Here is a 14327-nt window from a genome sequence, read left to right as displayed (position 1 = left end):
CAGAATGAAACCCTGTATCAAAAATAGATAAGAAAAAATATTAATATTATTACTAAAAATATAATGTTCAAAAAAAAGAGCAAATGGCTGTGGTTTCAATTCCAGAGATTATAGACTACAAATGGGGAGAACTATGAAAGAACAAGGAAATTTTAGTTGGCTCTGTATCCACACACAATTTGAATTTATTTAATACATTTAGAGAGGAAAAATATCTACTATGAAACAGTCATTCAAAATTTAATGACATTTTTTCTATTTTTATAAAGCCTATTTTATGTGTATTCATGGTCTTAAGCTAATATTTTTGTATCATTTACAAACTATTGCTTGAGATTTGAAAAAAGATATTTCTAAACTTTAGGGATAATTTTAATGCAATTCATATACATTAAAGTCATTTTTTTTTTACATTTGACTCATTCACACCTTTCCCTCTCCTTGCTTCATACTATACATCTAAAAGTTAACTGCTTATAGAAGCATCTTTGCTCTGCTATACCCTGAGTTATTTTTCCAAGACCAGCACTCTCCAACACAACTATTTGAAATAATGCAAATGTTCTATTCTTGGCTGTCCAGTATGGTAGCCACTAGCCATGTATGGGTACAGAGCACTTGAAATGTAGCAATTATAACTCAGATACTGAATGGTTAATCATTATTCATTTTAATTAACTTAAAGTAGTCACATATGGCTAATGACCAATGTAAACCAAAAATAAAATTCTAAGGACCCCAAACCATCTGAATGGGCTTCCTCCTCAGCTAGGGCACTTTTAACCTGAAAGATTTGTTCAGACTATGATGGAAATTGGGGGTCGAATATGCCTCATTACATCTCTCTGGCATTAACATCAACAGACCTTAAGTCTGGTAAGAAGCATTTACAGTTTATTCTTTCTGAAGCCTGCTACTTGGAGGCTGCATCTGCGTAATAAAACTTTGGACTCCATAACCTCTTATTGCGTTGCAGATATTTCCTTTCTATTAATCCCAGGTCTTTGGATAAACTCAACCAATTTTCAACCAGAAAAATTTAAATCTACCTATAACCTGGAAGCACCCCCCTGCCCGCCTTGCTTCAGGTTGTCCTGCCTTTCTGGACTGAACCACTGTCTTTCTTAAATGTATTTGATTGATGTCTCATGTCTCCCTAAAATGTATAAAACCAAGCTGCACCCCGACCATCTTGGACACATGTTCTCAGGATCTCCTGAGGGCTGTGTCACGGGCCAAGGTCACTCATATTTGGCTCAGAATAAATCTCTTCAAATATTTTACAGAGTTGGACTCTCGTCAACACCACCATACTGGGCAGTCCAAGTCTTGCCAAGACCCTCCTCCATTTCTTTACTCAATGTTTTGTTTTTATCAGGAATGACACTGTTGCAGTCTCGCCAGTGCACCACATTGTAGCAGTCTCTCATTGTGAGGTATCACCCAGAGTTCTGTGTCTCATGACTAAGAGAATCAAGGAGCATGGACAGAAAGGATGAAGTTGGAGTGAAAGTTTAATAAGTGAAAGAAGAAAGCTCTCTGCTGCGGAGAGGGGACCTGGAAGAGGGTTGCTGTTTTTACAATTGAATGCAAAGGCTTTTATAAGAAACCAGTGAGGTCTGGGCCTCTCATTTGCATAAGGCACACATATCTAGTAGCTCTACCCCATCCTCCTAATGCACACACGGCCCCTTAGCTTGAGTTAGTCCGTATTGTTTTGTTCCATTTACTGGGCATGTGTCAGGAGATGGAAATTTCCATTGCTTGCATGTCTGGGCAAGTCACCTGTGTAGCCTTTCTTATCTGTGTGGCTGCGGGCATGTCTTGGGCAAGCCCCACTGTGTAACTTCCCTTATCTCTGCCTGCAGGCTGTTCCTTTGTTTCAAAGGATTCAACGGAGGACCCACGCTAACTGCCTGCCTGACTGTTTTTTTCCTTTCTCCTCTCTTACCACCTTTCACTACTTCACCTACCCAAATAGAACCTTTATCTTTAAAGATTCCATAGTCAACATCACCTGCTCCCTATTTATTTTTTTCCTTTGTAGCCCCAAACCTTGTCCCTCTCCATAATTTGACTTTCCTGGATACTCGATTTTTAATTACATTTCCTTTCTGCCTTACATGTATCTTACATCCTCTTCTCCCTTCTGTCCGTTGGTTTAGAAGAGGAAGTTTTGGGTACAAATTATAATACTTGTGTCTTTGTAGTGAATTAGAAAAATATATAACTACATTTTAACGATGAAGGCACAAGATCCTTGGTGAAACTGCTTGGATTGAGATATAAGAATAACCATTTACTAGTTATGTAAACATACAGTGGGTTCACCTTGCCCCCTGCCTAGACAGAGCCCATTTATCAAGACAAGGGAATTACAATGGAGAAGGAGTAATTCATGCACAGCTGGCTGTGCATGAGACCCGAGTTTTATTATTACTCAAATCAGTCTCCCTGAGCATTCAGGGATCAGAGGGGTTTTTTTTTGTTGTTCTCATTTGTGTTTTTGTTTGTTTGTTTGTTTTTGTTTTTGTTTTTGTTTTGAGACAGACTCTCACTTTGTCATCCATGCTGGAGTGCGGTGGTACGATCTCGGCTCACTGCAACCTCTGCCTCCCAGGTTCAAGCGATTCTTGTGCCTCAGCCTCCCAGGTAACTGGGATTACAAGTAAGCACCACCAAGCCTAATTTTTTTTTTTTTTTTTTGTATTTTTAGTAAAGACAGGGTTTCGCCAGGTTGGCCAGGCTGGTCTTGAACTCCTGACCTCAAGTGATCAGCCCACCTCAACTGGCTGGTCTTGAACTCCTTACCTCAAGTGATCAGCCTACCTCAACCTCTCAAAGTTTTGAGATTACAGGCATGAGCCACTGCATCCAGCCAGGACCAGAGTTTTAAAGGATAATTTGGCAGGTAGGGGCTCCAGAAGTGGGGAGTGCTAATTGGTTGAGTTGGAGATGGAATCATAGGGGGTTAAAGTGAGGTTTTCTTGTTGTTTTCTGTTCCTGGGTGGGGTGGCAGAACTGGTTGAGCCAGATTACCTGTCTGAGTGATGTCAGCTGATCGATCCAGTGCAGGGTCTGCAAAATACCTCAAGCACTGATCTGAGGTTTTACAACAGTGGTGTTATCCCCAGGAGCAATTTGAGGAAGTTCAGACTCTTGCAGCCAAAGGCTATATGACCTCTAAACTGTAATTTCTAATCTTGTAGCTAATTTGTTAATACTACAAAGGCAGACTGGTCCCAGGCACGAAGAGTTTTTTGTTCAGGAAAGAGTTATTATCAATTTTGTTTCAGAGTCAAACCATAAACTGAATTCCTTCCCAAGACTAGATCGGCCTACACCCAGGAATGAAGAAGGACAGTTTAAAGATTAGAAGCAAGATGGAGTTGGTTAGGTCTGACCTCTTTCACTGTCATAATTTCCTCAGTTATAATTTTTGCAAAGTTAGTTTCAGTGAGATGAAAATTAAATGCTGTAAGACTCGATTTTCCCATCCATGAGTTGAAGTATCACCAGTGCCACAGTAGTTTATAGGTAGTCATTAAGTGAACAAGGGTGAGGACTTAAGGACTGTTTCAGCTCATCACTACATAAAAAGTAAACAAATAAGAGCCAAGCTGAACATTGATTGTGATACTTTGTCTAATGGAGCAAAATGTAATCGAAGCAGGATTTACTTGAATCCATTAAAATGCATAATTATAAAATATACCATAATGATTTGTGCTGTAATATTATGCCACAGGTCCCATTTAAAACGTTGTTATATTAGCTTAGGGACAACATCTGTCTTTGCATTTGATATTAAGAACTAAGCCTCTTCATCTTTTGCATAACTGACAAAAAATCCTAATGTTCTGAATGTCAGTATGTATACGTGGCAGTAGGAAAAGTAAACACATATTCAGCCATGCAGTTCTGTCTCAAACTAGATAGATTTTGTAATAAACACATTACAAATGATGGGGAGAAATAAAAGGGTTCACTTAAGTTGACATCAAAATTCGCCCTTTCTCACAACAGTTTACTGAGTATCTAAAATACCCTACAATGACCCTATAATTAAACCTATTGTACCCAAAATGGATAATATTGCTGCATTTCAAAGATTGTCATGGAACAGGGCTGTCTATTCCCTTGTTAGCTAGAATAGCGGGTTTGATTTTAACTGTCAGGATACTGCTTACAGAATTGAGCAAACATTATAGAAGCATTCATAAGTATTCCCCAAACTAAAAGCATTTAGCATTGTTATTGAGTTATATTGTGCAGGCAAAATAGCTTTTCAGAATCATATTTGTTGGTTATAGCTTTGAGCTACGATTTCATTATGCAGCTGGATAGTTTTTTGGTCGTTATATTTCAGTTCTTTTTTGTCTTTGGAGTGAAAATATTGAGAAACTATAATAAAGAGGCAAATACGCAATGGGAACTTCCAGATTACAATTATATAATTATATGTATTATATATGAAAGGATAAACTGTGCTTTTATTATAATATGAAAGGATGCATGATTAAAAAGTGGGAATTTTATCTTTCTTTTTAGATTGTTCAAAGTCAATGTCTGAGTTTATCAGAAATAGAGATACATAATACTTTGTAGCTTACAACCAATACATTTAATTTTGGCGGAATGAAGAGGTAGGAAGAACAAATCATAAATGCACCAGAGGAGAGAATTTATGTTGACCAAGGCAATTACCTGAGTGCATGTTTCCCTTTTGGTAGAATGGCACAATGTGTTTGAAGTATTTATCAAAGAACAACAAAAAAGTTAGCTTAGAAAAGTTACTCAATAAAGATAATTTAATAAATTGAATTAGATATTTCCAAAGCCAAATCCCAAAGTCAAATATGTGCGGAATTTTTTTTTTTTTTTTTTGAGACGGAGTCTCGCTCTGTCTCCCAGGCTGGAGTGCAGTGACGCGATCTCGGCTCACTGCAACCTCCGCCTCCCAGGTTCACGCCATTCTCCTGCCTCAGCCTCCCGAGTAACTGGGACTACAGGCGCCCACCACCATGTCTGGCTAATTGTTTTTGTATTTTTAGTAGAGACGGGGTTTCACCATGTTAGCCAGGATGGTCTCGATCTCCTGACCTTGTGATCCACCCGCCTCGGCCTCCCAAAGTGCTGGGATTACAGGCGTGAGCCACCGTGACTGGCCAAATATGTGTGGAATTCTAATCTGAATGCCTTACTTCTCAGGATCTACAAGAGCCCCAGTTTTCAGACAATGTTAGAACTGAGAGGCACTTCGTGGCGTTTAAGCAAACTGAATATGGCCTGAGAAGGACTCCGTATTTCTATATTTGAGTCCTTGTGGATGAACTGCAACCTAACTTAATAGGTAGACAAGATTGAAAGCCTAACATAGAAGTATGCACCTGTAACAATAGCTCAGTGTTGGCCAATCCCAGCGGCGGTACTTCAACCACTCATAGACAGCTGAGTATTCAAACTATGTTCACACAAGGCAAACGCCAACCAGTAACCAATCCAGTTGCCCTGTACCTCACTTCTGATTCCTGTAGGTCACTTTACTTTTTTTTTGTTGATAAATTTGTTCTGACCACAAGGCACCCCTGGAGTCTCTCTGAATCTGCTGCGATTCTGGGGGCTGCCAGATTTGCGAATCCTTCATTGCTCAATTAAACTCCTTTAAATTTAATTTGGCTGAAGTTTTTCTTTTAACAGTGGATTCACCGGCTGAGTGGTCCTTGTCTTTGTTTGAGCCAGACATAACATTGAGACTGGGCAAAGCTGTAATCATCTCCCTGAAAGAATTCATACAGGCACTTCTGGATCATCAGAGGGTCCCTTTGAAGACAATTCATGGGGTGGTGTCCAACAATTAAGTCAATCTATCAACTTGTTTTAGAATTCAGGAATCCAAATGCCAGGAAGATGAGGTGTGTACCAACAGACTATCAGTCAGTGACAATGCCAGAGTCTGATCTCCTCCATTTTTACTGTAATGAAGTCCATGATGTGGTACTATCTCCTTTCATTATAATGTTTTAATTAATAATTTTGAAAATATTCTCATGGTAACCCATAGAAGTTGTAGAAGAGCTCTCTTATTTTTTCTCTTCTCTCTTCCCCACATCTGGCCAGGTCATACATCATTGCCTCTCAGCACAAGAGATGGATCTCTGGAATTCAGAGGATTCTCTTATTTGTTTGTTTGTTTATTTATTTATTTATTTATTTATACTTACAGTTATTTTGAAGAGCAGGCATACTCTGTCATAGATTCATGTTGGGAATGTGGGTGTCCTGCAGGTGCCTTTGTCCTTTTAGTTGTTCTGTGTTGTTTTTGGAGGAAATATTGGGAAATGTACTGACAACTGTCTCTCTTTGGTAAATAGTGAATCAGTGGTTGTTGCTTCTTTGATGGTGGTATTAGGAAGTATGCATCTTAATTGCTAAGCTTTCAACTTTACATTTTATTTGGATGCTGTTTTATTTGTATTGACTGGTGGGGATAGATTTTGCCCTGAAAATTAACTAAGTATTTATTTTTATGCAAGTTTCACTGATATTTTAAAGAGTAGATCTGTTTATAGAGGGCTTATTGTTGGAAGTTCAACACTAGCTTTGTTTCATTTATTGCTTTTTAAAAGTAATATTTGATTTATTCAAACATATCTAGCATTTATTAAGTCAGAAAACAAATATTTAAATTAACTCTTAGAGAATCTATCTACCTATCCATCTCTATCTATCAAGTATCTATCATCCATCTATCAATCAATCAATCAATCATCTATCTTTCCAATCTATTGGCCTATCTATCTATCCATCTATCTATCTCATCTCATCTGTCTATCTGTATCATCTATCATCATCTCTAACATCTATTTATTTATCTAAATAATCAATCATTTTTTCTGAAGCATTTAAAAATAATTTGTAAAAATAATGCTTTTTATCCCTAAGAAGGTCAATAGATATCTGTCTCATTTTATACAAATGTGTGATAATTTATGGTGTATATATGCACTTTTTAATAAACACAATCTCTTATAGTCAGTTATTTATACAACTTTCTATATTTTGCAATTACAGACAATGTAGGAATATGCAACTTTGTAAATATGTATATTTGCATTTATCAGGGTATGTTTTCAGTGGTAATTTCCCAGAAGTGAGACTGTTGGTCAAAGGGTAAAAATATATGTAGCTCTGGTACAAGTTGTCAAATCCATTTCCATAAACATTGTCCGTTTTTAATTATTACTCTCTGTGTATGTGTGAGACATACTCCAGTAGCCTCATCACCAGAATGTGATGTCAAACTTTTATAATTTTGCTGATTTAATAATTGAGAAATGGTATCTACTATGTACCCATAATCTATCTATCTATCTATCTATCTATCTATCTATCTATCTATCTATCTATTCATCCATCCATCATCTAATTGCATTTGTACTTTGCATCACTTTTAAAGCATTCCTACATATCCAGGTTTTAGAAAAATTATTCATTTTTATTGATAAAATTGTACACTTTCAAATTTTTCCACGTAGACCTGTAATTCATTTGGATTTTATTTTTGTGCATTGTGTGGGGGTAGGGAATCTATTTTATTTCAGTTTCTCAAAAGTGTATATGAAGAAGTCCCTACTGACTGGCAATATCATTGTTTTATTTGTTAAATTTCCATGTGTATTTGGGTGTATTTCTGGACTTTTCATTCTGTTGAAATTGTCTGTCACTCCATATTTGGATACTATTAATATTTTACTTAAACAGGGTTGTCAATATGTTTCAATACACGGTAGGGCTTGTCTCCTTATATAGAACTGCTTATCAGGTCTTCCATGGCTCTGGTTAGCACATCAGAACTCTACAGGCTCTGATAAGCATTCCCTTTTTCTTTACTGCCAAGGTTGGTTAAAACGTAATAATCTTGCTAGTGCAAATCCGAGGGTGCAAATTGCCCAAAGGTGTGAAGAAGTGCAATCTTCTTTATAAATAGTCTTTTCATTAAACCCTCTTGTTTAAAACTTTTGAGTAGATCTGTTTGCAGCTAGGATCTTGCTACCCTGCCCCTCCCCAGGGACATGGTTGTTACCGTACCTTCTTCTATGTTAGAAAATTATTTCCTAGGGCCAATACCTAGGTCAGTTACCCATTTGCTGCTGACTCAAGCCCTTGGTTAGAGCAGTGTGTTTTCTCAATATCATTTATGTGGCTCTTTGCTTTGCTTTTTTTTTTTCTGTTGGCATTAGGCAATTTCTTTGCAAAAGCCATAAAGTTCCAATGTTGATTACTTTAACTGACTTGACTCAATCCACAAAGTGATTTTCTATTGAGGAATGCATTATTTATATGTGTAAAAAGAGAGATCTCATGTGAAATTTTCATCAATCAATGTGGCATAGTTCTATCATTTTTTTAATTGATAAAAAATTATATATATATTTATGAGGTACAATATGATGTTTTTATATATGTATGCATTGTGGAATTATGAAATTGAGCTAGTTATCATATGCACTACTTCACATTCTTATCATACTTTTGTATTGAGAACAGTTAAAGTCTACTCTCTTAGCAATTTTCAAGTGTACAAAACATAGTTATTAATTCTAATTATCATGTTGTACAGTATATCTCTTGAATGTATTCCCTCAGTCTAGTTGAAACTTTCTATCCTTTGGCCAACATTTCCTCAATCCTCTAACCCCCACCCCCTCACTCCTGGTAACCACCATTCTATGTTTGGGGGTATTTTTCCTTAATTTCAATTCTCTTTTTCCCTTTTTAGTTCCATCAAGAAGACAGTCATAGCAATACACCAAATTCAGGCTCCAGGGAATATACAAACTCACATGTATTTGGCATCATCCTTATACTTTTATATTTGTGTATCCTTATGTGATTGGTAACCAACAGCCTGATTTTGAAATTTAAAGAAAAACAAAAACTCTAAAACAGCTCTAATGTAAAGCATTTCCTGCTTTGGTGGAAAGATGGCAAAAATGTTGTCTGGGTTAAAAATAACAGACCCTGTAATCCCAGCACTTTGGGAGGCCGAGGCGGGCGGATCACGAGGTCAGGAGATCGAGACCATCCCGGCTAAAACGGTGAAACCCCGTCTCTACTAAAAATACAAAAAATTAGCCGGGCGTAGTGGCGGGCGCCTGTAGTCCCAGCTACTCGGGAGGCTGAGGCAGGAGAATGGCGTGAACCCGGGAGGCGGAGCTTGCAGTGAGCCGAGATCCCGCCACTGCACTCCAGCCTGGGCGACAGAGCGAGACTCCGTCTCAAAAAAAAAAAAAATAAAAAAATAACAGACCACGTGTAAGCTGTGACTTAATAATAGCTTCTTAGAAAATGGCAGGTCTTTGTTTTGCTTTGCAGGCAGTGCTTTCTAAAGTCTGTGGTCAAATCATGAGCTGTCCATTCAGCACAGCTGATCATTTTTAGACTCATCTCCGATGCTGACCTCCCCTAACCAAGCAACAGAGTGACACCCGGTCTTTAAAAAATAGATAAATGAAAGAATGTGGAATCCTTCAATAGATCCTCACATAACACTATTGTGAGTCTTTTGAACCTCACGGAAACTTTTTTCTGGATTTGCCGTAGTTTTACAATGTGTGTCTTAAAATGTGGCCATCAGAAATAAATGCATCACCCTGGGTATGATCTAATCAGAATCTGAGATGGTAATCTTTCTCTTGACAGCATGCATCTATCAAATGGAGTTAATAAACTGTTAAACTAGGAGTCCTCAATGCTGCCTTTAAAAAATGAAATTTAAAACTTTATGCTTTCCCTGTTCAGTTTCATCGTATTTTGGCCAGTCATTTTCATTTTCTCTACAATATAAAATATTGCTCCAAGCCATGTAGGATGAACATGTCTTTATGTCTTCATCTAAGCTCTGGACAATCATGTCAAACAGGGAAAATCCAGAGAAGACGCATTTTCAGTTAGCCCTAAGGAACTTCCAACAGCTTAAAAATAAGCCATAAAGAGTCACTCCTCATCACTTCCTGAGGACTGTCACTCAAGCAGCTGCAGAATAATGTGCTCATATTGTTACCCAGCTCAAAACTTTTCATATTCCCCAAAATAATATTTCCAGAAATGTTGCCAGATATCTTGTAGCAATTTCAATATATAATGTTTTGAGTATTTCTCTCATTCTTTTTCTACAAGTTCAAGTATAAATTTGTAATATATGTTTATTTTTTGTTATAGGATTATAGAAGAAACAAGCTTCTTGTTTTATGTCATGAAAACTCTCTCTCTCTATATATATATATATAAATCTCCCTAGATATATAGATTTCTATCATATATATCAGTATATATAAATATATAGAAATCTATATATAGCATCTATATATAGATTTCTATATATATAAAATCTGTATACATAGATTTTGCATATATAAAACTATATATAAAAGATTTTATACAAATGTGTATATGTAGAAATGTGTACATATGTGTGTCTGTGTGAGAGAAGGAACACCAAGAGGAAATCATAAAAAGTCACTTTTTACTTAATATGAGAAAGTAAAATTAAAATAACGTTTTCTCTGGGAAGGCTACTACATCTTCCAAATCCTACCCCATGACAGCAAACCCTGAGGAAACTATAATCACAGGAGACCAGACAATGTTAAAATCACTTTATCAATGGATGGAGGTTTACCTCAAATCATAATGTAGAATGCTGTCCAGCTAAATTGATTCATGGGAAAGAATATGCCACCTAAGCCAGAAATAAGGCAGATTTTTGAAAGGGATTTCCTTTGTTCTATGTTCCCAAAATCCGTATGTAACTCTCAGTTCTTTCTATGTCAAAATTCAGATTTCAAGGATGGCATACTCCAGAAAAAAATCAGGCAACCAGAGTGTATTTGTCCATTTTCATGCTGTTGATAAACACATATCTGAGATGGGGTAAGTTATAAAGAACAACAGGTTTAATGGACTCACAGTTCCACGTGGCTGGGGAGGCCTCACAATCATGGCAGAAGGTGAAAGTCACGTCTTACATAGAATCAGGCAAGAAAGAAAGAGCCAAGTGAAAGGGGAAACCCCTTATAAAACCATCAGACCACTAGGATGAAAACAATATGGGGGAAACTGCCCCCACGATTCAATTATCTCCCACCAGGTCCTTCCCACAACACATGGGAATTATGGGAGCTACAGTTGAAGATGTGATTTGGGTGGGGACACAGCCAATCCACATCACAGAGGAAAATATAGAAAGAGCAATGCATTCCTCTTAAGCTAGGCCAAGTGGCTCATATCATGCTAGCCCATCTAGGACTAAACATGGGTCCACCTACTAATTGATAGAATTGGTGCTGAAAACCAGGGAGGTCACCCCATCAGGGACAGGACTTCTGCTCCACTGCATATCATGGGGATAACTAGTAGTCCATTGAGATGTATTTGACTAGGGCCTTGGCTCACTTTAAAGTGTGAAGTCATTTAGTAGGTGGAGCTCAACAGTACCTAGGTTCCCGGAGGAAGACCACAATCACTGGAACTGAACTTTCATTCTTTTAGAAGACTTGAAATACAACATAAAGAGTAGCCACTTTAGGTAGATTATCTGTAATCCTTCCAAAGTCATCAATATTATTATTACCATGCTAGAAGATGAGAAAAGGAGGGTCAGAGGGTGTCAGTGGTTTTTCTTGGGTGAAACATCCAAAATACAAACATGAAAAGGAGAAGTTTTGAAATCAGCAAGAAAACAAAAATGACATGGTACATACAGGAAAACAATGGTATGAATAATAGCTGACTTCCCCTTGGTAACAATGCAGGACAGAAAACATTGGAATTGCTTATTAAAAGTTAAAGTTTGCATAAAAGTGTACTCTATTTTGTGTTATAACCCAGAATAGGGTTAGTCTACCTTAGTTAAACTTCCCTGTGCACTTGAAAAAAAATGCACATTCTGGAAATTTTTAGTGTCTATGCAGTAAGTATAAATAACGTTTGGTGGTGAATAATATTGTTCAGATATTCTATACTGACTGTCTTTTAGTCTATTTAGCTTATTTGTTCTATCAATTACTGTGACTGTTGTTTTAGAATATCCACCTATTTTTTGTTATTGGTTTTGTCTATCTTTCTTATTTACTCAGTTTCTCATTCACAGATTTTGAAGCCATTGTATTGAACACATATACATTCATAATTTCGATCTCTCCTGGATACACTGAGCTTTGTCATCATGCAAAGTCTCTTATTACCAAAGTAGCACACCCTGTCTTGAAATCTACTTTTTCTGATATCAATATACGTTTTCTAGCTTTCCATCTTTAGTGTTATGTCACATCTTTTTTCCATTCTTTTAATCTCAACCAATGCATTTCTTCAAATTTAAAGTATTCCTCTTGTAGACAGCATAAATTTTAAAGAAACTTTTTTTTTTGAGGCAGGGTCTTGTTCTGTCACCTAGGCTGGAATGCAAAGGTGCAATTATGGCTCACTGCAGCCTCAAGCTCCTGGGCTCAAGCGATCCTCCCACGTCAGCCTCCCTCAGCCTCCCAAGTAGCTGGGACTACAGGCATCTACCACCATGCCCAGCTAATAGCATAAGTTTACATCTTATTACTTCTCTTTGGTAAATTATGCCTTGTGATTTTATGCAATTTTTCATATATTTGGAGAAAGACCTCTCATTTTTACTATTTGTTTTGCACTTCTTTCAACATATTTTTCCTTTCTCCTCTGGTTTTTCTTTACTGTCTATTTTGATCAAATATTTTCTTGTATTTTATGCTAATTACCAATCCCAATGACGTTAAATTAGAAGTCAATAAACACTGTATATGTAGAATATCCTCAAATATTTAGGAACTAAAGAACACCCTTCTTAATTACCATTGATCACAGAAGCTATCTTCGGGAAAGTTGGAAAAATATTTTGAGTTGGAAGAAAATGAAAACAAAATATATCACAATTTGTCATATGCAAGCAAAGCAGAAATTAAAGAAAATATCTAATTCTTTAGATCCTTATATGAATAAACAAACATAAATTCAACTAAGTTTTCACGTTTAAAAAGCTAACAAACGAGAAATTTAATGGAATATAAGGAGGAATTGAAAAAAACAAATAGTAAATCATTGAAACAGAATATTGAATCATTAAAGAAAATTAAAATCAAATGTTGATTTTTCCTTACATGCACACACACACACACACACACACACACACACACACACAGTGCATATAAAAACTGGTGAAGTCTGAAAAAAGTCTGTAGTATAATTAACAGTAGCACTGAATAAATTCTGATGTCCCTGTGTTGATATTGTGATATTGTGCTGCAGTTACAGAAGATGGTACCATTCAGCACATTGTATAAAAGATACAGGTGACCCTCTGAATCATTTTTGCAACTTCTTTGAGTCTCTACTTCAAAAATTTTTTTAAAGTTTTTAAAAAGTTATTTTTATATAACTAATGAAAATTATATATACCTAGTAAGACTTGTCAAGAACAAAGAAACTTTTACAATTTCCAATATAGTAATAAAATAGAAGACACCATACATATATTGAGGAAATAGTAAGGAACTATGGATAACAACTTTATGCCAATGAACTATGGACAACCTTTCTGAAATGAACAAATTCTGGAAAAACACGCATTACCTAAAGTGCATGTTAGTACAAGAAAACTTGAATTGCCATACATACATTTTAAAAATCAAATGTGAATATTAAAAACCTTCGAAAAAGGAACTCCAGGTTCAAGTGGCTTTCTGATGAAGTCTATCAGAGATTTAAGAAAAAAATTATTTCAATCTTATGCAAAATCTCAGAAAACTGTAGAGGAGTATAATCACTATGCATTTGATGTACATTACGAAGGCTGACATTTTCCCATCTGGGTATCCAAATGGGAAAAAAATAATGAACCTCAAGTTTCCTCACATTATGGACAAAAACTAACTGCATAAATAATAAATCCTGTTAATGTTAAAATATAAAATGCTAAACCTAAATTTAAGAGAAAAGTGTTTGTACCACTGAGTTAAACAAAGATCTCATACTGAACACACACACACTCCCCACATACCACAAAAAATTTTTTTTAAATATAGACAATAAAAATTGAAATATTTTTATTTTCAAAAGACACTGTTACTATATATATGTAACAGACTGGGGAAAAACCATTAGCGACTCATGTAACAGGCATGGATCTTGTATATGGGGTATCTAAAACAAAAACTTATAACTTGATGATGAGAGACAACATCTTTTTAAAATTTGCATTGGGTAAAAGAACATTATATATGTGTGTGTGTATATGTATA

General features: G+C 36.2%; 3 annotated features.

Moving 5' to 3' along the window:
* Positions 941 to 2140: an enhancer, noted in NCBI's record as "MED14-independent group 3 enhancer chrX:4628486-4629685 (GRCh37/hg19 assembly coordinates)". NCBI's record gives its function as "activates an origin of replication core promoter dependent on BRD2, BRD4, P300/CBP and CDK7 cofactors, and independent of MED14, by STARR-seq in HCT116 cells {active_cell/tissue: HCT116}" and the evidence as "EXISTENCE:reporter gene assay evidence [ECO:0000049][PMID:35650434]".
* Positions 1610 to 2111: an enhancer, noted in NCBI's record as "NANOG hESC enhancer chrX:4628515-4629016 (GRCh37/hg19 assembly coordinates)". NCBI's record gives its function as "activates a minimal SCP1, AML or CMV promoter by ChIP-STARR-seq in primed H9 embryonic stem cells {active_cell/tissue: H9 hESC(primed)}" and the evidence as "EXISTENCE:reporter gene assay evidence [ECO:0000049][PMID:30033119]".
* Positions 1612 to 1901: an enhancer, noted in NCBI's record as "active region_29378". NCBI's record gives its function as "activates an Ori minimal core promoter by ATAC-STARR-seq in GM12878 lymphoblastoid cells {active_cell/tissue: GM12878}" and the evidence as "EXISTENCE:reporter gene assay evidence [ECO:0000049][PMID:35858748]".

The sequence above is a fragment of the Homo sapiens genome, chromosome X, assembly GCF_000001405.40.
Source record: "Homo sapiens chromosome X, GRCh38.p14 Primary Assembly".
Lineage (NCBI taxonomy): Eukaryota > Metazoa > Chordata > Mammalia > Primates > Hominidae > Homo > Homo sapiens.
The sequence above is the reverse complement of the archived record's forward strand: the minus strand, read 5'-3'. Positions and strand labels throughout refer to the sequence as shown.